This window comes from Homo sapiens, chromosome 12 (genome assembly GCF_000001405.40).
Source record: "Homo sapiens chromosome 12, GRCh38.p14 Primary Assembly".
Lineage (NCBI taxonomy): Eukaryota > Metazoa > Chordata > Mammalia > Primates > Hominidae > Homo > Homo sapiens.
Window position 1 is genome coordinate 3,203,552 of NC_000012.12, and position 24,943 is coordinate 3,228,494.

Genomic DNA, 24,943 nt, shown 5'->3' on the forward strand with positions numbered 1-24,943 from the left:
TCCTAATTAGAAGGTACTGATTACATTCTCTTTACCAGGCAAGGAGTTGTTCTCTCCTGGATTCTGACTTTTCTGATTACTTAATATTTCCAGAATTCCCATGACATGCTGTAAGCAGGGAAAAATTGAATCTCCAAGACCCACTTCTTGTATGCTAGTAGCAAATGAGATGATTAAATAAGACATAGACCTTAGGTAAGATGGGGAATTTAGCAGAAGACAAGTTCATGCTTGTGTGTAAGAGTGTTTGCCACTGTGTTTATCGGGAGGTGGAGGAGCAGGTGCAGGAGGGTGTTGGCCAGGATGTGGGGGCTGTGGGTCACTGTGCTCCACTCAAATGAAGGCTTCCTGCAGGCTGGTGCTTGGCCTGATACTGGGGAAGGAGCAGAGGAAAGAGCAGAATGGGAAGGGAAAACATCAAAGGCAGGTGGGGTGTTGATGAGTCAGGGTCCCTGGGAGGCCTCTGTTGCTGTCTTGTGCAGGGGGGCAGGGGGAGCATGCAGGCTGGGTCAAGCCCAGCCCTCTGGGACCGGGTGCAATTGTTAGGAATTTTGTAGCCTTAACTTGTTGTAGTCTTGTGGCTCAGATCCAAAAAGGAGGCTTTTCTGAAGGATTAGAGTTGAACCTGAGGGCTGCGATCAATAGATAGAACTCTTCCCATAGATCCCGGAGCCTACCAGGTATTTCTCCAAACTCACCGCTGCCGCCACACCACCCCGCCCCGTGCCTCTGAGCGCTTGGGAGGATTCCCATGTGGAAGAGAGGTGCAGCTGTCGTACACTGCAACCCTTCAGAGGCGTGCATAGGTTCCTCACCACTGGGCGGAGCTTCTAGGGTACTAGTATTGGTGAGGGCTGGGTGACATCACTGGGGGTAGGTTGGCAGGTGGAGCCACACAGCCCATGGTCCTCCTCCTTACTAAGAAAAGGGCAGGTGCCTCACAGGCTGCTGGGTGCCTGCCTGCCTGTGGGGGTCCAGGTCTGCTCCTGACACTGCGACTTCAACCAGACAGTTCTAGCCATGTTGGCAGCCCAGTGCACTGTGGGAATCTGGGGCCTCCAGGAGGGCAGCAAGGTGAGGGTAGAGGAGAGGGAGTCAGTGGTCACTCCTGACTGAGTCCCATCTCCTCTTTGTCTTCTGCATCCCCTGCCCCGACTCTCAGGGCTAAAGACAATGCTGGCTTCTAGGTGGATAGGGAATAGGAGATTTGAATTGGGACAAAAGTTTCCCCATACTGAGGATCCTGTTCTCCAGTAAGCACACTCACCCTAAGGGATTTCTCCTAGCAGTGAAAACCATCTGGGCATTTTCCTCAGTCAGCCCCATCTCTGGGTCCTCCTGGGGCCATCTGGTAGAATACTGGTAGTAGAGATTAAATGATTCTAAGCCCCTCCCAGGGGGCAAAGGAGACTCGGAGCTTCAAACTGTGAGTAGAGAAGAGCGTATAGGGGTGGGCTGGAAAAGGGACCTCTGAATGCTGGGGTCATGTGTACCCTTCCTGGGGCAGCAAGTCCTGATCCCGCCCAGCTCTTCCCAGCCCAAATCAAGTTCCTGTCTGATGTGGAGGGGTGGGGGCGGGGCTGGGGCTGCTGGCGTAATTGCTACTTAGGATAATGGTCATTTTTCATGCTTGCCAGCAGAGCTGTCCCATCACTTTAAATTATGGCTGGCAGAGCAGTGACATTCTGGCCCATTGGAAAGCCTATTCCTTGTGGATCGCTCCCTTAATGAAGGCTAATTAGCTGAGGAGGCCGTGTTCAGCCAGCCTGCTGGAACAGGGAAAAGGTTGGCGCAGGGTGGCCCCGGGCAGAGTGCTGATGGGGCCCTGATTAAACTCCCTTAAGTGAGGTCAGGGCCCTCGCAGACGCTGGCTGCCTTTGGGTGCAGGCAGCATGGTCGGGCTCTCCAGCTGCATTGGTGGCACGTGCTTAGTACTGGCTCGGCCATGTCACGAGTGCCTCTGTGGGCTCGGGCTGAGGTCTGTGCATGGTCAGTGTTGGGTGGCCTAGAGTGTCATAAGGAGTCTATGGGGTGCCTTCTGTCTGAAAACAGGAGTAGTGAGTGGGCTCAAGGGTCCCAGCAGGGAGCTTGGGTTCAGACCTGGCCTCACCTGGCATCTCCAGGCAGAGGAGACACAGGGTAACCTGGGCAGCAAGAGGCACTTAGGCCCCCCCCCCCCAGAGTGCTCAGGTGTGAGGGGTTCAGGCTGTCTTCCTAGGGGGCTGCAACAAGTAGATCTTAAGGGTGGGTCAGGCTGGCCTCTGCTGGGGGAAGGGGGACAGGTGCGGGGCCTGGCAGATACCCCAAGACTCCTGGAATGTGGCCGTGAGGGAATGCCAGGTCTGTGTTCACTTCCTCTCCACAGCATTAAAAATTAAACTTCCTTGTCTTAATGTCTATTTTTAAATCTTGTCAGAGCAAGCATTGGTGTCAATCAGGAGGGGGTGGGGAGGAGGCGGGTAGAGAAGAGAAAGTCCCAGTTGAAAAAGGGTAAGCAGCTCGCTCTAGCCTGAGGAAGGGGCCGCTGGGCCCTCCACCCTGGCCTGTGAAGAGCACAGAAAACACCCTCCGGCCTGCTCCTATCTCCATGTGCCTGGCTGCCCTTGGCTGAACTTGGTGGCAGACTCTGTGGCCAGAGGCCTCCTGTGGCTTATCAGGGTGCTGGGGTCCCAGTTGGGTCCATTCACTCATGCCACAGCTATTTACTGAATGCCCACTCTGTGCACAGGATCCTCCAGTTGGTGAGAATGGGCTGACTGGGCTCGCAGAGGGCGGATCAGTTTTCTCGTGCCAGGAAGTCGTGGAATCGGGAGGTCATCTGGCTCGTCCTGCGCTGAGCATTTGAACACAGGGCTGTCAAGGGAGAGGTGAGAGCATTCTAGGGTGAGGCAGCAGCAGGCCTGCACCCAGAGCCCTGGTGGCCTGACTTGTCCTTTCCTCCCCTCTACACCCACACAGCCACTTTCTGACTCTCCTGCTCTGAAATGTTTATTCCTGTCAGTAAGAGAGGCAAGAAAAACAGCCTTCCTTTTGTTTTGTTTTGTTTTTTTTTTTCCTTAGTTTGAAAAAAAGAATCAGCGAATCCTGTGGCCTTTCTGTTTCTTCCACTGAAAAGGCTGGCAGATGCTCTGTGGCTAGTTGAGCACCTGCCGTAAGCCGGGACTTTGAGCTGCTCAGAGTTGCATGGAGAAGTCAGACACATAAGCAGATCATTACAGTTCTGAGTGGTAGCTGCTTAATAGAGCTCCTTAATGGAGTAACTAATACTGCGTATTAGAGACAAGATATAGAGATAACAGAGTAGAGCAAGTGACACCTGGGTTTTGAAGGATGAATAGGAGCTTGCTGATTAGATCAGACTAGAGGGTCCAGGGCAGGGAGAAGGGTGGGAAGAGAGAACACATTGGTCCAGAGCCTATGCCAGGGGAGAGCTAGCAGTCCAAGGGGGAGACAGCACCTGCTGGACACATGCAATGGGCTGAACCCAGAGAAACAAAGGGTCGTGCCAGTCTGGTGGCACCCTTCAGGAATGGCTTCTGGGGGTGGAGAGTTCGGAGTGGGTTCCGAAGTAGAGGGGCACTGCAGCAGTGCCTGGGGATGCTGGCTTTCCAGGGCTCCTAGGACAGGGTTGTTTTGTTTTTCTGGCAGAGACCACCGTGACAGGTCTTGCTGTGTCACTCGGGCTCAAGCTGTCACTGTAGGTAATCCAGCTTCAGAGAGATGCCCCTGTTTTCTCCCCCCTTTCCAGCCTCTCCCATCCAGCTGTGATATGCCTGTTTATTTGGTTCCAGTTAGGAAGCTTTGAAGCTGAGCTAAACCCATCGGGCAGAGTTAAGTCTTCTGAGCCAGCTTTGTCTCTGCTCACATTTGAAAGCTAATCTGCCAGTAGAAGTGGTGGGGGGTTGGGGTCTGATCCTGGCAGGGATGTTAAAAATGGCACACGGTCAGGCGGGGGAGCAGCACAAGGTCGAGATGTGGCTTCTAACTCGACTCTTTAACCAGCCATGGGACATCAGGGGAGATCTGAAACCTCTTCTCACTTAGTGAGTCCCTGGTTTGATTCAGGTGGGGTCTACCTCCTCTCCTGTGCGCCCCAGCAAACTTTGAGGCTCCCGGGAGAACTGGAGAAGCCCTTGGGCAGGGGAGGCTGCAGGATTTCAAATCTCCCTTGCAGTGGCTAGCTCACTGCGTCAGGACCACGCAGAGAGGCCCTGTTTTAGTGGCTGGTGGGGGGTGGGTGACCGGCCAAGGAGGAGAGGGACAGGGCCCTGCTTTCAGGTAGCTTTCTTTCCACTCCAGGGGTTCTTCACTAGAGTGGATGTTCGCATCAGCCAGGCAGCTTTTACATGAACAAAGCCCCTCCTGAGTGGGCGCCTCCAGAAGTGAGGGCTGTGTTTTGAAGGTATTCCTTTAACCTCTTGCTATCTGGTTTCCTCACCTTGGACTATACCACCTCTCCTGTAGGGCCGTGCTGAGGCCTGCAGGAGGTGCTGTGTGCATGATGCAGGTGTACTGCTCAGCAGGAGGCCTGGCGCCTTGGACTTCGTGCGCAGGAGCTGTGGTTGTTAGTATTACTGTCGCTCCTGCGGTGAGAGCGTATGAACAGGAAGTTAGGTGCCCACGGGTTGGAGTATGGACCGCTTGGATGACAATGCCAGGAAGGGCGGTTGGAGCCCTGGGAGGATCCCCAAGTGTCCCTCGGGCTGGGGATTGCTCTGAATGTCTTCGGGCCTTCGGGGTATATGGGAGAATGGGGGCAGCTGGGAGGGCCAGGGGGGTTTCTTGGAATGAGAGTTATAGGTAGGGAGAAGGCAGTGGAGAAGGATGTGGTCTCTGACCCCAAGGCCTGCAGCTGCACCTGCCATGCCTCTGGGCCTCCCAGAAGGGGCAGCTCCACATACTTCTTCTGCCTCCCTTTGTCCTAGGGGTGACAAGTGGGGCCTGGACCCAGCCAGCTGGGCTGGTGGTCACAGTGCGGGGCCCCCACAGGCCCTTTGGTGGATGTTGGATTCCACTGGGCAGCTTGGCTTGTGACCTGGGCTGACCAGGACACAGAGCACACAGGGCTCCAGGTCCGGGTCACTTTCCCAACCAGAAACACCGTCACCCAAAATAAGTGACAGTTGTAAAATACATCATATGTAAATTCACGTACTTAAAAAAATCATAAAACAAACGCCTGCCCACTTAGAAGCCTAGCTTATGAAATAGAGGACTTTCTATGCCCATGAGCCTCTGTGACCCCCAGCTTCTGCCTGAGAGAGCACCATTCTCTTTGAATCTTGTGTGAAGTGTACGCCACATGTATTGGCATTCTTAAACACGGCATCATTTAGTTTGACTGATTTTTCAACTTTTGGTAAACAGAATAGTTCTGGATGTAGTTTTAAAAATTCGGCGTTGTGCCAGGCGCAGGGGCTCATGCCTGTAATCCTAGCACTTTGGGAGGCCAAGGTGGGTGGATCACGAGGTCAGGAGTCCGAGACCAGCCTGGCCAACATAGTGAAACCCTGTCTCTACTAAAAATACAAAAATTAGTCGGGTGTGGTGGCGGGTGCCTGTAGTCCCAGCTAGTCAGGAGGCTGAGGCAGGAGAATCGCTTGAACCCGGGAGGTGGAGGTTGCAGTGAGCCAAGACCACACCATTGCACTGCAGCCTGGGCGACAGAGTGAGACTCCATCTCAAAAAAAAAAAAAAATAAAAAACTAAAAATTCAGCGTTGTGTTTCTGGATTCACGCACGTTGATAGTCGTGGCCATAGTGCACACCTTTCCATGGCTCTTGGTATTTCATTACATGAATGTGCTGCAGGTGTATTCTTCTGGTGATGAACATTTGGGTTATTTCCTCCTTTTTCTAAACAACACTTCTGTAAACATTCTCGTATAAGTCTTCTGGTGTACATGTGGAGGCGTTTCTTTAGGACAGTGCTTCTGGAAGTATCTGTGGTGGAGGACCATCTTTTAAGTTTTCAGTTCTCAGAGGTGGTCCTGCTGCATGTGACTAGTACACGGTTGAGAGCACACGTGACTCGCCTGACGAGCTCAGCTGTACCTGAGTGAGTCAGCTGATGGTGTGCTGGGATGTTCTGGCAATGTCAGATTGCTATAAACGTTTCTAAGCGTGGGCCGGGCGCGGTGGCTCACGCCTGTAATCCCAGCACTTTGGGAGGCCGAGGCGGGCGGATCACGAGGTCAGGAGATCGAGACCATCCTGGCTAACACGGTGAAACCCCGTCTCTACTAAAAATACAAAAAATTAGCCGGGCGCGGTGGTGGGCGCCTGTAGTCCCAGCTACTCGGGAGGCTGAGGCAGGAGAATGGCATGAACCCTGGAGGCAGAGCTTGCAGTGAGCCAAGATTGTGCCACTGCACTCCAGCCTGGGCGACAGAGTGAGACTCTGTCCCAAAAAAAAAAAAAAAAAAAAAAAAAAAATTAGCCGGGTGTGGTGGCGGGTGCCTGTAGTCCCAACTACTTGGGAGGCTGAGGCAGGAGAATGGCATCAACCCAGGAGGCCGAGCTTGCAGTAGCCGAGATCGCGCACTGCACTCCAGCCTGGGCAACAGAGCAAGACTCCGTCTCAAAAAAAAAAAAAAGAAAAAAAAGTTTCTAAGCATGAAGCAGTTCCATGGACCACACCTTGAGGAGCACTGCTCTGGGTATATAGGAGTGTAATGGCACCGTGGAGCTTCAGGATATGTACCTGCCACCTTTCCTAGATAATGCCAGATTGTTTTCCAGTGAGGATGTATCAGTGGACATTCCCACCAGTGGAGAGTCAATGGGGAATGGTTTTTGGCATTCTCCAGTACAGTGGATGTAAAATGCTATATTATAATGGTTTTAATTTGCATTTCTTTGATCACTAGTGGACATCTTTTCATATGTTCCTTAGCCATTCTTTCATCTTCTGTGAATGCATGTTTGTCTTTTGTTCATTTTTTATTGAGTTGCGTTTTTTCTAACAATTTTTAGGAGTTTTATTTATGTTTTGAATACTAATGTGTTAATTAAATGTATTGCAAACAGTATGTAGCTTCCAGTTTATAGTTTGTCTTTTCACTTTCTTCATGGGGTCTCTTGGTAAACAGAAATTCTTTATTGTAATGTAGTCAAATTTTCAGCCTCTTCTTTGTTAGACTGTACTTTTTATGTATTTAAGAAATACATGCTATCTCATGGATGTCTTTTTTTTTTTTTTTTTCCTTTTGAGGCAGGGTCTCACTCCTGTCAGCCAGGCTGGAGTGCAGTGGCACAATCATGGCTCACTGCAGCCTTGACTTCTCTAGGCTCAAGTGATCCTTCCATACCAGCCTCCTGAGTAGCTCAAACTATAGGCACGTGCTACCAAGCCTGGCTAATTTTTGTATTTTTTGTAAAGGTAGGGTTTCCCTATGTTGTCCAGGCTGGTCTCAACCTCCTGGGCTCAAGCAATCCTTCTGCCTCGGCCTTCCAAAGTGCTGGGATTACAGACGTGAGCCACGGCGCCCTGCTTCAGCTTTACAGCCTGGTAGTAAGACAGTGCTTGTCGCAACATAATCAGTGCCTGTGAATTGTTGAATGAATGAGTAAGTGACTGAAGATGAGTTCCTGGACTGATTTCTGGAAGCTTTTCTTTTTATATTTAAGTCCTTAGTATATTTGGAATTTATATTTGTATATAAGATAGGGCTCTGATTTTTCCTCCATAGCTCCATTGATTAACTAGTCCACCTTTCCCCACAGACCTGTACCGCCACCTGTGTTTCTGTGTATGCCTGGGTCTTTTCCACTGGACTGTTTGTCTATCCTGATGCCGCACTGTCTTCATTACTACAACTTTATAATAAGTCTCAATATCTGGTAGGGCAAATCCTTTCCTCTTACGCTTTTTCAAGAGTATTTTTGCTGTTCTTGGCCCTTTGTTCTTTTGCATACATTTCAGAATTAGTTTGTCTTGTTTCACCAAAAATCAGTCAGCCAGCCTCTTCCCCCAAACCCTTTTGATATTTTGGTTGACCTTTCATTGAATTCATTCATCATCTTAGGGAAAATTGCTGTCTTTTTTTTTTTTTTTTATCCAAAATGTGTTTATTGAGATGGTTTCCCACTCATCTTGACTCAGAGTGCTTTTAGTGCTGCTTCCTCCTGAAGGAACATCCTTCTGTAAGCCTTGCTTTTCCTCCTGTAGGCTGGCAGAGGACAGTGGAGCAGCCAACACACAAAACTACTGTTTGTGCATGGCTAAAGACCGTGGTGATTTTATAGCATCCTGGGCATTTCACATCCATGAAGTAGGAATTGGGGCTCTGCACCAGGCGTTTCTTCTTGTGTTTCCTCTTCTCCTCTTCTGGAGAGGGATGAAGGAGATCCTTTGCGAGAGGCATGTTCTCGTGTGCGTAGGTCGTCACCACCGGAAAGCAAAATTGCTGTCTTTGTATTTCTTTCTTTTATTTTTTGAGATATAATCTTTCTCCGTCACCCAGGCTGGAGTGCAGTGGCATGATCTCAGCTCATCGGAACCTCTGCCTCCCAGGTTCAAGCAATTCTTATGCCTCAGCCTCCCGAGTAGCTGGGATTACAGGTGTGTGCCACCATGCCTGGCTAATTTTTGTATTTTTAGTAGAGATGGGGCTTCGCTATGTTGCCCAGGCTGGTCTCGAACTTCTGACCTCGTGATCTGCCAGCCTCGGCCTCCCAAAGTGCTGGGATTACAGGCGTGAGCCACCATGACCGGCTTATCTTTATATTTCTATTCATGAATATGAATAGTATTCTACTTATCTATTTCTATTCATGAACATGGTATATTTCACCATACATTAGGTCTTCTTTAATGTTTTTCTGTAAAGTTTCATGAAGGTTTTATACATCTTATGTTATATAGAGACTTCTTTTTATATATTTTTTAAATTTTTAAATTTTTTGTAGAAACAGGGTCTCCCTGTGTTGTCCAGGCTGGTCTTGAACTCCTGGCCTTAAGCAATCCTGCCTTGGCTTCCAAAGTGCTGCGATTACAGGTGTGAGCCACTGCATCTAGCCTAGAGACTTCTGATCTTCCATGCTTTGCCACCCTCCCCCAGGGTTCAGCTGAGCTCTTGTGCACACGCACTGCAGACCTGATGAGGGAATGGGGCACCCAGAGGTGAGAGGATGGAGGAGCCCGCTAGCCAGCTAGTCTTCTAGTGGGTGCAGGTCAGGGGTGAGCACCAGGTATGGTGCTCAGTGCTCTTGCCTAGCAAGGGGGGCCTAGTGTCTGTGTTCATGTCCCGCACCTGCCATCTGTCTTCTGATCAGAACAGGGTTTGTAGAGGAGGCAGGCTCTCCAGGGACTATGAGAAGGGTGAAAAGGAGAGGGCTCGAGGATCTGGAGGATGGAAGATGTACAACGTGGGAGGATGCCTATCCGGTGAAGGGATTGTGGACAAGCAGAGGGAGTGGGGAGGGTGGAGAAGGAGAAGGCAGGAAAAACATGGTGATATTGGAAGCCAGAGAAAGGGGCTAATGCAAAGGGTGTCAAACAGATCTGTGGAGCGCTAGGAATTGCTTGGGTACAGCGGTGTGCTGGTTGCAGAAGACCCCTTTTAGCAATGGCACTTTGGATCATGCGGGGAAGGGCATTAAAGAACGCCAGGTGGAGGAAGGTCTGGAGGACATGGGACTGTGGCTGGGCGGGCAACCTGGGGAGTCTGTCTGCAGGGGTCTCTAAGCAAACGGCAGTTGCTGGCGGTGAGGATCCTGTGCCTTCTGTTCTCTGTACAGTGAGGGCGGGTGTGTTCTGAAGCCTCACTCTGCCCCCTGCCCTCTCAAGGGGGGCTTCCCCCGCTTGTTGGCAAGAGCTCATTGGACCCAAATCAGAGCGACAGCTTGTCAGGCCGATAAGCCTGGGCTCTGGGCAGGAGCTCTTTATGTCTGAGCCATTTAGGACACTCATCGTGACCAGTCCCTGGGGCTCAGAGGCCTGGTTGGGGAGGAGGTTCAGGGACCCTCAGGAGAGAGCAAGGGTGGAGGGAGGAATGCTGATGTGGTACTGAGTGCACGAGGTGCTCACTTTGTTCCCATTTATGGCAGCTAAAGAGAGCTGCAGCGAAGCCCCCCTCCCCCTTCCAGCCCCCCTTCACCTGTCCCTTTCTCAGCCTGCCTGCTGGGAGGAGGGGAGTCTGAAAAGTGCATATTTCACAAAAGCCACTCCGTAGAGGGCTGTGGGTCTTACTCAGGAGCTGTGGGAGGAATATTGACAAGATTCTCTGCATTGCCGATTAGCTTTCTGTCTTCCCACCTAAATGGAGACTTCTCACAACTTGGGGCAGGGAGGGGCTGGGCTGGGTGGCCACCCAAACAGCCTGCGGGATCCTGGGGTGCCTGGCCATGCATCCTGCATTTCCTCCCCACTCCTACAAATGCAGGTGTGCAGCTCTTCTTGGAAGATGCATGCCAGTTAACTCTCGCTTGTATCTGGGATCAAAGTGGCAGAGTGGAAAAGAGCAGGGAGTTGATCCCAGAGACCTGGGTTCTAGTCCCCGGCATGCTTGCTAACTAGCCGTGTGATCCTGGGCAAACTGCTTCTGTCTCTGGGCCTCAGTTTCCACATCTGGAAAATGATAGACTTGGACCAGCTCATCTCTGAGGTCTCTCTGGGCCCTGACATTCTGTGGTTGTATATGTTTCTTTTGTTCCCTTTGTCTTTTTTAAGGAGCTGATGATTATTGAGATATTTTATCTTCCTTATCCTCATAGTAGCGTCGGTAGAGTGATGGACCACGGATGAGTTTCTTCTGTCTCATAGGTGGTGACACTGAAAGGGGACTGCCTCACCTGGACTACGTGTGTGCTCAGTGTGCTGGAACTCACTGCCTGGACAAAGCTGCCCTAGATTTTGCCATTCCTGGAGCTCACAGGCCTGGAGTGAGCGGCTGCCTGCCGCGGGGCTGGGTCGGGACAGGAGCGCTGGGTTCCAGGGTGGACGAACTCCTGTTGGATTTGCCTCTTCGGACCTCCAGTTCCTTGCTTAGTGGTGGGGGGAGAATCTTCCCTGTTAGCCCATTTCCCACTTCAGGGTAGCAAGAAATGGAAGTCGTTTCTGGGCCTGGGCAGGAGATGGGGCCACAGCCACAGCAGTCAGTTGATTTGAACACGCCCTCCCCCCTGCAGGGGAGGGCCTTCACGCCCTCTAAGCAGGTAATGAGGGGGCGGGCTGCCGTATTAAGCACCCTGGCTACGCTGGGGAGAAGCTCTGCACCTTGTTTGACACACAGAACTGTCGCGGCTCCTTCCTATTGTTAGAAGCCTTAATTACTATTGTTCCAATTCCTCCCTCCAGCGATCGTCATTAGGAAGAGCGTTCTTGTTTCTTCCTCCTTCCCCCCATCCCCCTGAACACGTCTTCAGGGCTGTTCCCTGGCGCTGCCTGCCTCTCACCCGGCTCTACCCTGTTCACTGTGCCCTTCTACCCAGGGCAGCCCCTGACAGCCCACCTCCCTTATCCCCTGGCCCTGGCCTGCGCTCCCACCTGCTACCTCTTTAGGAAACAAACACATACCCTTCCCACCCCCATCCCCAAGTCTCCCCATTAAAACTCATGGCTCAAAGCCAGGGATGCTTTACCTTGTGTGTGGATTCAAGAACCTGTCCTACCCGCTTCTCTGGTGGTTGTGAGAATCCAAACCAAGAGAAGGGTGGTGCCTTAAACTGGAAAGTACTGCACACATTTAGGGGGTGTCCGTGCACCAGCGCCGCAGGCCATAGCTGGCTGGGGGAAGGCTTGGGCTACCCTGCTGCTCTGCCATTGACTCCCTGGGAGGATCTTTGACTTCAGCTTCTCCTCGGTAAGGTGGGAATCAAATCTTAATCAAACTTGCCTGGCCAACCTGGGAGCCTTGTCAGTGGGCTGCAATGGGATGGTGATCCTGAAAGTACTCTGAGGCCTAGGAAGGGTTCTGCTGATTGGAATCAGGATCGCCAGCTTATTTTTCTTTTCATGACTTCCTGTTGTTCTCTGTATCTATTTCCATCCCATCTCTCAGCCTTCCTAGAGGGCCCTAAAGCTGTGCAATGATTTGTTCCCTGGGGAATTTCTCCACCAGGCAGCCCCAAGTCATGTTGCTGGCTCCTGCAGTTGCCTGCTGAGGCACCCCAGCGTCTGACACCTGGGGAACCCCACTTGTGGGCTGTCTGGGAAGTGTGGGGGTGGGAGGGGCCCCTCATTTCCCTCCAGCTGCCATTTGCTGCTCTCTCCAGGCTCCGTGGTGGGCCCGGCACAGCCTGTATCGGAGTGGAGAACGTAGGTTGGTCCAGAGCACGTTCCACCGGGACCTCTCCGTCTGGAGCCTGTATCAGAGTGGAGAACGTAGGTTGGTCCAGAGCACGTTCCACCGGGACCTCTCTGTCTGGCTTGCTCAGGCTCATTTCTTCTGTCTGGGGACTTACGGGGATGAGCATGAAAACCTGTGCATCCTGGAATCACAGGGACACGGCTCCATGTTCCCAGCGGTTGATCCATTATCCCTGGTCGCCCTGCTTCCTTCTCAGTCGCTCTGGCCTCTGCTCCCTCCTGGAGTCCTGGGCTGGGAAGTAACCTCAGTCCATGCTCAGAGCCACCCCATCCCCACCCCACCCCCACCCCAGCCCTGGGGCCCTCTGGGAGCTGGGGAGTCTGTGCTGTGATTGGCAGGAGTTGGACAGATTTGCTTGCTTGGGCTATCTGCCTGTGGGGCTCTCAGCTGGATCATCCTGCGACTACTGACTAAGCAGCCAGATGGCTTTTGCTGGGACCTTCCAGATGTGGGAGTAGGTTTTGGAGGTGCTCATTCGTGCCCACATGGCCCTGGGTCCACATCTCTTTTGCTCCCCCGAGATGTCCAAGCTCACACTGGGCACTCGCTGGTCAGAGTGGTTGGGGTTCTGGAGGCGGGGCTTGGGAGGATATGGGGAGCTTCTCCAGCATCAAGCCTCCCTTTTACCAGGATTTTCGTACCGTCTCAAAGCACCCAAAGCTCTTCTCAAACACATCTCGTCAGTGGGGAGGCTTATACAGAGAGGGAGATGGGGTGCCTGGTGTCCAGGTCCCACTGGGCACAGGGCCTGCAGGGCTGAGGTGGAACCCACTGGAACCCGGAGTGGCCCTAATGGGCCTGGAAGCCCGTTTGTCACAGGTGTGGTCCGGAGGTGGTTCTGGCTTCCAGATTCAGCCATGTGGATCCCCTAAGGGGTCACCTGCTGCCTTTCTCTGCTTCCCAAAAACGTCCACGTGGGCTTTTTTCTCTGCAGGCACCCTAGGGAGGTGGAACCTCCTTGGCCAAGGCCCTCATCTCTAGCCTTCAGACACAGATCCCCAAGGCCCCTGCTTTGGAGGGCTCTGAGGGCTCCCTGGGTCCTGGTGAAGGTCCAGGCCAGGCCACCACCCCAAGGGCCCACTGTCCTGGGGGAAGCTGAGCCTCCTGAGTAGGCCCCTGAACTGCAGTTGGAGGAAGGGCTGGAGAGGAGATGAGAAGTGGCAGACTGGCTGAGAGACTGCTCAGAGGGCAGCCTGTTGCCCGGCTGTTTAATTTACTGGAGTTATTTTTCCTCATCGTTCCCTTTCTTTGGTGTTCCCAGGCTGCTATTCGTGGCTCTTTCCCTGCTGAGCTCTCTTCACGTCACTGTATTTAGGAGATAACTGAGGAGCTGAGCCTTCCACCTGCCCCTGGGCCTCATGCCCGGACCTTGGATGCCAGGGGCTGAGGTGTAGCATCCTGGGGTCCCTGATGGCAATGTCCCCTGAGTTGGCTGGGGTTGGGCTTAGATCTTGCACTCTACGTGACCGGCAAGGGAGGTGGTCAGAGACACCCTCAGCTTCTCTGACATCTGTCTAGCTATGGAAGTGTCATCTGGAAAGATCCTGCCCAGTGTTGCTGGGAATGAGCCATCCTGCCCAGTGTTGCTGGGAATGAGCCACTCCTTCTCTTCTGTCATGCTGGGTCTGTGATGTCCAGAGGCCCCGTGTCATTGAGGCAGCGGTGAGGGCCCTGTTTGGGCTTGTTCTTGGAGAGGAGGAAGTTGAGTCACCCCAGACCATATTACTCCCTTTCACTTTCCCCAGGGAATTCAGAGACTTTTCCCTTTGGGAGGGGGAGAAGATGACCAGAACCCGCAGGGACTCAACTCCCCTGGCTTCAGCTGTCTGCTGCCTGCATCCCTTCACCCCTTCACCCCTTCACCCCAGCATCTGATCATCTGTCCCTTCCCTGCTTCCAGGCCTTCTCTAGCCTGGTCTGGAAAGTGAGACGTAATATGGGGAAGACAGCACGTGCTCTAGGGATGGGTGAGCTTGCTTCTCGGTGTCACCACTTCCTGTGTGTACAGTACAGAGCAAGGTGCTTAACTTTTAGAACCTTGACCTTCTCATCTATAAAATGGGTTGATGATGAGACTACTTTCTAGATGGGTTCAAGGAGCAACTGAAACACTGTATGAAGAGGTTTCAGGTCATTGTGTGGTGTGTGGCGGGTGTGTTGGGGCCAGCTGAGTTTTGCATGGGATAATGATACCCTCTGGGGTGGCATAGCCATGCTCCTTGGCAGGACAATATGGGATGTGTACAGATTTTGGGTGTGCATGCCTGCGTCCTGTGCTCAGCCCCCATTTTTTCTGTGGGCCCTGGTTTTCTCTAGGCTTTGTTTTGGCTTTCTCTTCAGCAGAATGAGGTGTTCTGTGTCTCCCACCAACCCCAACTTCCTCGGGGCAGGGAGCAAAGGACAGATGGGGAGTGAGCTCACAGCTCTGAGTGCTTTGAGATCACAGCTGAGGTCAGGGAGGAAAGAGGAGGAGGCGTGTTCTCTGCTTTTAGGATGCTCCCTTGAGACTGCATGTTTAAACTAGATTTGAAACCTCTTACTGAGCTCTCAAAAGGACTGCCAGGAGGAGACCTTTGGGGCCTGCAGTGGCCAGACTAGCTAGGGATCTGGTTGGGGCTATGATGGCCAGGACTTCTCACCTGGCCTTCTCAGGCAAGCCTGGGTGGGCCAGGGGTGATGGCGGTAGGAGCGGGCCTGGCTGCCTTCCTGAGGGCCTTGGCAGAGATGGAGTAAAAGATAAAAGTAGGACCTGGGAATGGGGAGGAGGAGAGGAAAAACGCAAAGGGGAAAGGAAGGAGAAGGCACCAGGAAGGCTAGCTACTCTAGCACTGGGGGCTGAGCCCGCTTGGCTGGGTGCCTCGGGCCGCCTCCCTTCCTCTCTGCAGTGATTAAGACATCACCAGCTGCCTGTGTTCTTAGCCCCGCTGGCTCTCCGCTGCCAATAACAAATGCATCTGGCTGGAATCTGGGTCATTAAAAAAAACAACCTGATATTTCTCTTTTTCCTTTACCCCCCGGCAATCCATCCTCTGGAATATAGCTGGAGCCCCCCAAAGAGAGGTCAGAGGTCGCAGAAAACCATGGTGGACATGTCAGCTGTCAGGGCCACTCAGGCAGCCAGCCAGCCACTCTTGCTGGATGTCTGTTTTCTGTTGTGTCTGAGTTGTTGTGAAGTGAAGGCCCCAAATACAGAGCGATGTGCCAGAGACAAGGGCTTACAGGTGGCCCTTCCCACCCGTGGGCGGCCGGGGGAGGCCGGACGGTGTAGTGGCTGTGATGGGGGCTGTGTGTGTAAGCTCGGAGTTGGACAGCCTTGGGTGTCAGTCACTGTTGCCTGTGTGATCTAGCAAGAATGTTCGACCTCTCTAGACTCAGTTTTGTTTCTTTTTGTGAACAATGACAGTGACATGCAACCTGCCCTGTGCGGTTGTTGAGTGGGATGCACAGGGACTGTCCTAGCACAACACTCAAGGAAGGGTGGCCACTGCCTTAGTTTGTCACCATCATTATCCTATCTCTGTTGAGTGGCACCTCCTGCGGGAGCTGTGTTTGCTCAGCCGCAGTACCGACCCCCATCTCCCGGTGTGGGTCGGGCACCTGTCCAAGGCGGACCTTCTGTGAGGATGGAGGGAGGGCGCCTTCACCTCCTGCCTCAGGAGCCAAGAGTCAGCCAGACAGGCAGCTCTCTCAAATGGAGATCCTTTGAAGACTATAAAGATTTGTTTGTACATCTTTCTCTGGGATTTGAGAATATAGATGAGTAGAGAAAAATGGAGGGAAGGTGGAAGGGATGACTTAAAAAGGGAATGATAGGGAGGGGAACATCACACACCCTGGGGCCTGTCGGGGGGTGAGGAGCTAGGGGAGGGATAGCATTAGGAGAAATACCTAATGTAGATGATGGGTGTAGCAAACCACCATGGCACATGTATACCAATGTAACAAACCTGCACATTCTGCACATGTGTCCCAGAACTTAAACTATTAAAAAAAAAAAAAAAAAGGAATGAGGCTGGGTGCTGTGGCCCACGCCGGTAATCCCAGCACTTTGGAAGGCTGCGGCGGGCGGATCACCTGAGGTCAGGAGTTCGAGACTAGCCTGGCCAACGTGGTGAAACCCTGTCTCTACTAAAAATACAAAAAGTAGTGGCGCATGCTTGTAGTCCCAGCTGCTTGGAAGGCTAAGGCAGGAGAATTGCTTGAACCCGGGAGGCGGAAGTTGCAGTGAGCCGAGATCACGCCATTGCACTCCAGCCTGGGTGACAAGAGCGAAACTCTGTCTCAAAAAAAAAAAAAAGGAATGAATCTAGGAAGTTTCTTCAAAGAGACCTTACTAGTAGTTACCTGTAACAGCTACCATTTCTGAAGCTGACACCGTGCTGTGCCGTGGCCCAGGCTCTGAACCTGTGCTACCTTATGTCTGACTGATTCCAAAGACTTCCGTGCTCTTAACCACTATTTTGCCCTTTACTGTCCCAGGCTGGTAACAGACCGAGGTGTCTCACTGGGAGTAAAGCACCCTCAGGGTTAGGCGTGGGTCTAGGGTGCATGGGTGGGCACCCCAGAGGCTGACCGTCACCTTCCTGACTCTCCAGCGGTGCCTGCATAGTCTGCGGCACAGCATAGCTCACAAATATTGGCCGAGATGCTTCTTTGGAGCAGGCAGAGGTGAAGCTTCGTCGATTCTGCTGCACCCGGGCCATTGGCTGGGAGGTGGAGGCATGGGAGAGGTCTGCAGAGGAATCCGATGTTGATATGTTTTCCTGGGACCCACTGGAGGACCCAAGCCCGGAGGCTTAGTCCTGCTGCCCTGGCCTGTGGGGGATGTTACTGGTGTGCTGGGCCGGGGCTGTCTCAAGATAATATGAGACCTGTTTCCTGTGCTGCCGGGGAAGAGTGCACCACACCGCCCAGCACAGAGGGCTCTCGGTGGGAAGGCGGGCCCAAGGAGGGCTGTCATTTCTGGGTTCTTCCGTTCAGAGGACAGGGCCCTTCCTATCTTAGACCTTGGATGAGGAACACATTGGCCTTTCCCTGTGAGGTGGTTCCTGACTCTGGGGCCATCCTTCATCCGTTGCTCTTTTCCAAAGATGCAGAGAGATATTTCCAGTCTCCTTTTATGGCTCGGTGACTGGAGAGCCCTGGAGACTCAGCATCAGGCTGAACTTTTGCAAGCCTGCTGGCTGTTGGTACGGGGAGGAGGGGAGAGAAGCCACAGGGACCGGGAGACTGGGTCGCCACCCTCAGCAGGTGGCCAAGACTTTCCAGGCTGTCCTGACTGGGCAGTCCTCTTGTTGGGACCACACTCTAGGTTTTGCACCCATCCTTTACTGGTCCCTTCCCTTATTCATTTATTCATTCAAATATCTGCTTATACTGGGAAAGACAAAAGCAAGGATGAAACAGTCTTTGCCTTGTCATGGCTAGACTGTGCAACATATTACAACAGTTTATTTTCCATTGAAGATAAGTTATTTTTTATTTAAAATATTTTTCTCTTTTTTTTTTTTTTTTAGATGAAGTCTCATTCTTGTCGCCCAGGCTGGAGTGCAATGGTGTGAATTTGGCTTATTGCAATCTCTGCCCCCCAGGTTCAAGTGATTCTCCTGCCTCAGCCTCCCAAGCAGCTGGGATTACAGGTGCATGCCACCAAGCCCGTCTAATTTTTGTAGTTTTAGTAGAGACAGAGTTTCACCATGTTGGCCAGGCTGGTCTTGAACTCCTGACCTCAGGTGATCCACCTGCCTTGGCCTCCCAAAGTGCTGGGATTATAGGCGTGAGCCACCGTGCTCAGCCTAACAAATTTTTTTTGAGATAGGGTCTCACTCTGTCACCCAGGCTGGAATCCAGTGGCATAATCACAGCTCACTGCAACCTTGAACTCCTGGGCTCAAGTGATACTCCTGCCTCAGTCTCCTAAGTAGCTGGGACTACAGGCATGTACCACCACGCCCAGTGAATTTTTAAATTTTTTGTAGAGATAGGGTCTCCCTGTGTTGCTTAGGCTGGTCTCAAGTAATCCTCCTGCCTTGGCCTTCCAAAGTGCTAGGATGATTGGTATAAGCCACCGTGCCCAGCCTAAAGAGAAGTTTTAAAGATACCTGAGCACCTAATTACAGCTTTCCTTTCGATGTTGTAAACCATGTTGTTTAAGGAACACGGGACAAGAGTGTATTGGAAAGAAAGCGGCCAGCTACCTTAGGTGCTCTGTTATGAATGTATTTCCTTAGACCCACACAGGGTTCTCTAACTGTCTTTTCCTGAAAATTCTTCCAATAAGCATTTATTGAACTTTTACTATGCTCAAGGCACAGGGCTTGGTCCTGCTGGCATGCAGAAGGGGGGGACGTGGCCACAGCTGCCCTGGGAAGAGGGGGGCATGTGGAGGGGATCCCCATTTCCTATACACAGGGCCCTGGCTCCGTCACAGATGAGGCCTGGTTGGTCTTGGGTCCATAACTTGTACTTTCAGAGTCAGGAAGCAGATGCTGGCAGGCTTGGAAACCTCGTCCAGGTTGGACGGTGGTGGTAGCAGAGGGATGAGCAGCAAGTGCTTCCTGGGCATTTATCAGCACACGTCTCCAGGCGTAAGACCTTCTGTCTGCCAGGCTAATGGGCCACCCCTGGCACCCCATGGCACTGCATCTGGATGGATTTACAGGGGTCTTGGCTCTCAGCCTCATCTCTGTTCCTTAAACCCGGCTGCCTCTCTGGATGCTGCCCAGAGGTGACGCTGATCAGATTGTGTGGGGAAGCCTGTGTGATGGATGGCTCATTTTGTGTCCTGGGTCTGCAGCCCACATTCCTGCCAAGAGCATACCTGATGCAGGGCCCTTTCTGCAGTGGTCCTCAAGAAATATTAACTGGTAATGAGGACCAGAGACTGAGGTTCACCCGTGCTGGCTTCTTCAGGTCCTTGTTCTACCATGACTAATAGCCCTCTCCTTAAACCACCCCCCAGGTCCCACCCTGGGATGAAAGACCAGCTGACCCTGATCCTCACAGCAGGTTTGTCCTATGGCGGAGATCCCGAGGGGGCCCTAAGTCACAGCTTTGGCCATCCAGACCCGGGGAGCCATCACTGGAAAGTGCCTATCAGGCTAAGGCAGAGGGGTGGGGTGTGGGCGGGCTGTGCCAGCCCACCGGGCAGGTGAGGGACCTGCAGGAGCCGAGTGCCTGAGCTGTCCTCCCCTGTCTATTAACTCCCCATTAGCATGCATCAGTGCCGTTGCCTCTATCAGTTTGATTTATGCCACTGCGGTTTTGCTTACAAATTAGAAGCCGCTATTGTGCTAGGTCGGCTTTAAAATCGATGCAGAGTAATTGCAGTACATGGGTAGTTGGATGACATTAACATGAGAAATGTGCTGTAGTCGTCATCCTTGGAACAAACACGTCCAATTACAGTGAAATTCTGTGCCCCTTACCCGGCTAATTTGAACACAGCTCACCGCCAAGGCCTCCTCCAGCATGGCCAGCCCTGGGCAGAGATCGTCACGAATGGATTTGACGGGAATGGGGCTGGGGACTGTCATGTTGAAGCCCGGTGGAGATGTGGGACAGGGACCTCGTTTGTTCCAGAGCCTGTTCCAACCCTCCCTGGCTTTTGTGGCATGTTTTCTATGCCGTTTGCTGCAAGGATGCGTTGGGCATGGAGTAACAGCCCCAAGACCGTCCTGCAGTACTGCACGTGTGCGTGTCTGTGCTTTGGTTTGTCTGTGTGTCTACCTTGTTTTAGAGTAAAAAAGTGAATCTGAGGCCAGATCATCAGTCTGCACCTGCCTCTCCAGCAGTCCCTGCATTTCCTCACCTATAAAATGGGAAGGGGAACACTCCTTATGGAGCTGGTTCAAGTATTGAGCGAGAGACCGGGACTACAAGTGTTTTCTAACACAGGGGCATGAATTCAGCCGTGGCGGCGGCAGCTTGTTAGGAGAGCGATCAGCCTAGGGGCTGATGGGGTGGCCAGGCGTCGGGATGGCATCCAGTCTTCTCTGTCTGCATGCTGGAGTCATGTGAGAGATTTATAACAGAATAGGGATGCTGGGTTCCATCTCCTGAAATTCTGTGTCATTGGTCTGAGGAGTGTCCTGGGCATCTGGACACGGGAAAGCTCCCCAGCAGGGTCTCCTGTGCAGCCAAGGTTGAAGCTGCTTCCTAGTCCATTTCTTGCTCTTCAGATGGATTTGTGCTTCTTTAGGTAGGACTCATCCTAGTAAAAAAAAAAATTTTTTTTCTGAATTGATAAGCAGGAAGTTCCTCCTTCCATCAAGTCAGAATCCTTACCGCCTCAGACATAGCCTACTCCTTCTTTTGTTAGCTGAGACATGGGTAGGTGGCCCTTCCATCTCTCTGTGTAGTAGGTGTCAGGCAGCATCTGGTTTCCCTTGGGACCCTTGTGCACTTACAGATGGGACCGGGAGGCTGTGGATGACCGAGGGTGGTGCTGCTCTGCTGGACACTGTGCTAGGCGCCCTCACGGGCTGGTGAAGTGGAGTAAGAGCCCTTGGAGATCTGTGGAGCGTCAGAGAGGGGAGAGCAGAATGCAGCGAGTCTGGCCCTCCCTTTTTCACACACGAGGAAGCTAGGAAGAACCTACAGAAGGAAAGGAGCTTGGCTGGGAAATGCCAGTGAGCTGGGGGCAGAGGCGGAATCAGGACCCAGGCCTGGCTCCCGTTCAGGGTTGTTTTCCATGCTGGGGCAGCCCAGCTGGGAGAAGCGACCCCTGGACCGTGTATCTGGGGAAGCTGTGCCCAGAGGGGCAGGATCCGCGTGGTTGATGCCGAGCAGCCTGGGATCTCCGATGAGGCCTAGCGTCTGCTCATACCCAGATGCACGTACTGCGCCAGGGTGGCCGCGTGATGGGCGGGGGTAATGACAGCTGTCGGGTCTGGTTTGACGTCAGCACGGGCCCCCTGACAGATTTCCCGGTTCTGTCAGCTTCGCTTCAGCAGTGCTCTTCCTGTCTGGTAAAAGCAGATTTGTGTGAGATCGGCCCTCTTGAGGGGCTTGTGGGGGGCTGCTGCAGGGAACAGAGCTGTGGTCAGGATTACAGGGCGGCCACGCTCCCATGGCTCATCCCGATGGGGCAGCCAGAGCTTCAGAATTCATTCAGAGGTTCATCCAGCCACTCCACTGTGTGTGCAGCTGGTGGTGGGCACCTTTGCGGTGCACAGGATCCCATAGCCCATGCGGTCAAAGAGCTGCCATTCTCTTTGACAGTGGAACAGAGACAAAGAATCAATCATCCTCGCACCCTGTGGTCCGAGCTGGGTTGGAGGTAAACACAGGAAGCCGTAAGGGCACCCAGGAGGGGCCCCCAGCCTCCAGTTGGGGGACCGTGGGAAGGCTTTCATCCGACCCACAGCGCACAGAGGTGAATGATTTCAGGCGAGGCCTGGCTTTTTCTCCTGGTGTCTCTGTACCCTTAGCACCCGCCACTCCCCAGCCTGCCCAGGGGGCCTGGAGGACTGCCTCTCACATGTGCACGCACAGGACAGCCTGTCCTGTGCGGTGGCGGTCACAGCATTTTCTCTACCTTTCTTGAAAGTGAGGCCTGCAGAGACTGAAGGCGCTTGGAGGGAAGGTTGTCACACTCACGGTGGGGAGTGACAGCTTCTGGGCAGAACAGGAGTCATGCACGTGCAGAAGCGCTGGTCTGGGGGCAGTTTTCAGGCAGCTGCCAACCAAGCCTGATGCCTGTGGGATGGGGGACCGTTGTTGCATCCTCGTGGGAAGATGAGCAATGTACCCCTGCACAGTGCCTGACTCATGCTTGGTTCCGGAGCTTAAGAAAGTGGGCAGACGGCCCCCCGCCCTCCACAATAACAGGAAGCCAGGGGCCGAGTAATTGCCTTAAGCCTGGGGAAGCAGAAGGGATTTTTTTTTTTTCAAATAGGTTTCGTATATCAGAGGGTCTTGTGACTAGGGCCCATCTTTACCCGTGGGCCACCAGGCTGAGAGAGGTGGACTCCCTAGAGAGGTGGACAGGTTCATTCTCAGCTGGAAGAACAAAGCCATGCCAGAAGGACCCAGAGGGACGGTCCATGTGCACACATTCTACCTGCTGGGCCAAGCTGGGAGCCAGCTGGGGACCATTTTTTCTTTCCTTCTGAAGTCACAGTAAACCACACAGGGCCTGTTGATACTCTGAGCCTGACTCAGGGAGAGGGGTCAGAGTTGTGGTTCTGCTGTCTCTCCTGCCGAAGTCTGTAGGGAGAGGTGACATTAGAGGGGAGACTGGGGGAAAGGAGGGGACAGGATTGCTCTGGCTGAGTGCAGAGGGAGGAGATGGGGTGTGATGGGGTGAGGGGAGGACGGTCGTGAGGGGCTGGTAGAGTTAGGAAGGCAGACATTTTTTATCCTCTAGTTGCACATAGCGGGAGAAACTCCTTTAAAGACCAGAGAAGATAACCTGCCATTCTTGGTCTTTGTGCTTGGAAAGGAGTATTCTCAATTTGTTCACAAGTTCAAGGGGACGAGCCTGGGTATTAGGGAATGATCCGCTCTTGAAAGGTCAGATTCACATCCAAGAAGCCTTAGGAGGGCTTACTCCTGAATCCTCTGGCCGTGAGCATTCTTAAGGGGCCATGTAATCTTTTTTCCCTCCTTCTGGGTAAAATGCTGACTGCTGATTTCTTAGGGATGGAGGGTCCTAAGCCTCTGTAGGTGTGCTTGGATTTGAGGGTGTATATATATGGCTGAGGCAGAAGGATTGCTTGAGCCCAGGAGTTTGAGGCCAGCCTAGGCAACATAACAAGACCCCATCTCTTAAAAAAATTTTATATATATGTGTGTGTGTGTGTGTGTGTGTGTGTGTGTGTGTGTGTGTGTGTGTGTGTGTGTATGTGTATGTATGTGTGTGTGTGTGTGTGTGTGTGTGTATATATATATATATATATATATATATATATATATATATATATATATATATTTTTTTTTTTTTTTCCCTCTTCGAACTCCTGGGCTCAAGCAGTCCTCCTGCCTTAGCCTGTCAAGCAGCTGGGACAACAGGCATACACCACTGTGCCTGGCTTCTCCTAATATGTGGTCTGAATCCTTCCCAAGAAGCCCGAAGGGTTTCCAACAGTATCCTTGATGGTAGAGAGAGGCCAGGTTATCCTCCCATTGGTTAGTGAGATACTGAGTGCAGAGAGGGAGACCTGACACTTACCTGCATGTCTGGGTGGCTGAGGCTGGAACTGAATCCTCGTCCCTGGGCCTCTGCCTGTACCTACACTGCACTCTGTACTGTGTTGTATCTGGCCCTCTGTATGCTGGCAGTAAACACCACAGTGGGCAAATCCAAATGATTGTTTAGTGGTAAAAAATTAAATGCAAGAGCTGAAGCCAACAGCAGTTTCATTGAACACAGGGAGACTAAGAGCCCCAGAGCAGCATCAGAAGTCATCGGCTGTACATGTGTCCTGGGCTGAATGTGTCCACCAGGGCTGCGCAGCCTGGGCCATTTTGCCCTGCTGGGGGCAGGCTTTGGAGAGCAGCTTTAACCCTCTGACAAGGGCTGGCTTCTGACAGCTCTAGGGCAGCCCATCATGGCCTGTGCTTCCTGGCCCTCTGAGACACTAAGGTCAGACGCCTGAAGGGACAAAGCTGTTTTTAGTGGGGAGACTCCCCGTGGAGGGTGAAATTTGCATTGCGTGCTTGGAGAGTGGCAAGTTAATGCTTCCTGGCAGCACCAGGAAGCCGCAGGTACCTGTGGACAGGAAAATGGGTCATGAGGGAGTGTTTGTGTGGCAGGCAGGCTTGCGTGCCAGGCCCGGCCCCAGCCTCCCCTTCTCACACGGACTCACACTCCATCTCCACTGGCCTCTGGCTCTTCCAGTCGGGCCACGTCCTCTCCATGTGAGGCAGGGGACTTAGGTGTGCTCACTTGCAGCTGGGACTTGGTGTCCATGGGAGGCTTGAAGACAGGAGGAAGCCGGTTGGCAGGCCCCAGGGAGGGCTGGTCCTGCTCGGGTAGGCTGGGGTGGTACAGGTTTGACTTCTGCCGAGGTTATAATAATGATCTAACGATGACTGGTGTTCATGGGGTGCTTTCTGGCTCAGAAAACGCCTTCATATACGTCTCTCATTTGGTCCTTGTGGTCCTTTTCAAGGAAATAAGAAAGGCAGCTAAAATTCATTGAGCAATTACTATGTACCAGGCACTATGCTAAATGCTTTGTCTGTATTAAAAAAATCCTTGGCCGGATGTGGGGGCTCATGTCTGTAATCCCATCACTTTGGAAGGCCGAGATGGGAGGACTGCTTGAGGCTAGGAGTTTGAGACCAGCCTGGGCAACATCACAAGACCTCAACTCTACAAAAAAATATAGAAAAATTAGCCAAATGTGGTGGCATGCACCTGTGGCATGCACCTGTAATCTCAGCTACTTGGGGGGCTGAGGCTGGAGGATCACTTGAGCCCGGGAGATCGAGGCTGCAGTAAGCTGTGATTGCACCACTGCGCTCCAGCCTGAACAACAGAGCCAGACCCTCTCTCTTAAAAAAGAAATAAATAAGCTCTCCTCACATCCTGCTTTTCAGTCCCCATTTCACGCATGAGGATACTAAATCTCAGAGGTGTTGGGGGACCAGTCACACAAGCACTAGGGGGAAGATCCAGGACTAGC

The 24,943-nt window shown here is 52.6% G+C and overlaps 1 protein-coding gene and 1 pseudogene across 9 annotated transcripts in view, besides 2 other annotated features; one reads left to right on the forward strand and one right to left on the reverse strand.

Annotated features, from left to right (window-relative positions):
• Positions 1 to 24,943, forward strand: part of TSPAN9 (tetraspanin 9) — a 209,181-nt gene that overhangs the window by 126,173 nt on the left and 58,065 nt on the right. Inside the window, exons 4-6 of one of the 9 annotated variants that reach the window (XM_047428128.1) lie at positions 2,729 to 2,867; positions 10,766 to 11,809; positions 12,217 to 12,329. The exons of 5 other annotated variants lie outside the window; for them this stretch is intronic. The gene's annotated coding sequence lies outside the window, so the exon portion shown is untranslated. Of the gene's footprint in view, positions 1 to 2,728; positions 2,868 to 10,765; positions 12,330 to 24,943 lie in introns of those variants that run through there. 3 more of the 9 variants (XM_047428127.1, XM_011520912.4, XM_047428130.1) reach the window with 3 other exon arrangements.
• RPS27P3 (ribosomal protein S27 pseudogene 3) lies at positions 8,055 to 8,400 on the reverse strand (annotated as a pseudogene).
• Positions 11,142 to 11,681: an enhancer, noted in NCBI's record as "NANOG-H3K27ac-H3K4me1 hESC enhancer chr12:3323859-3324398 (GRCh37/hg19 assembly coordinates)". NCBI's record gives its function as "activates a minimal SCP1, AML or CMV promoter by ChIP-STARR-seq in naive H9 embryonic stem cells {active_cell/tissue: H9 hESC(naive)}" and the evidence as "EXISTENCE:reporter gene assay evidence [ECO:0000049][PMID:30033119]".
• Positions 23,493 to 24,008: an enhancer, noted in NCBI's record as "H3K4me1 hESC enhancer chr12:3336210-3336725 (GRCh37/hg19 assembly coordinates)". NCBI's record gives its function as "activates a minimal SCP1, AML or CMV promoter by ChIP-STARR-seq in naive H9 embryonic stem cells {active_cell/tissue: H9 hESC(naive)}" and the evidence as "EXISTENCE:reporter gene assay evidence [ECO:0000049][PMID:30033119]".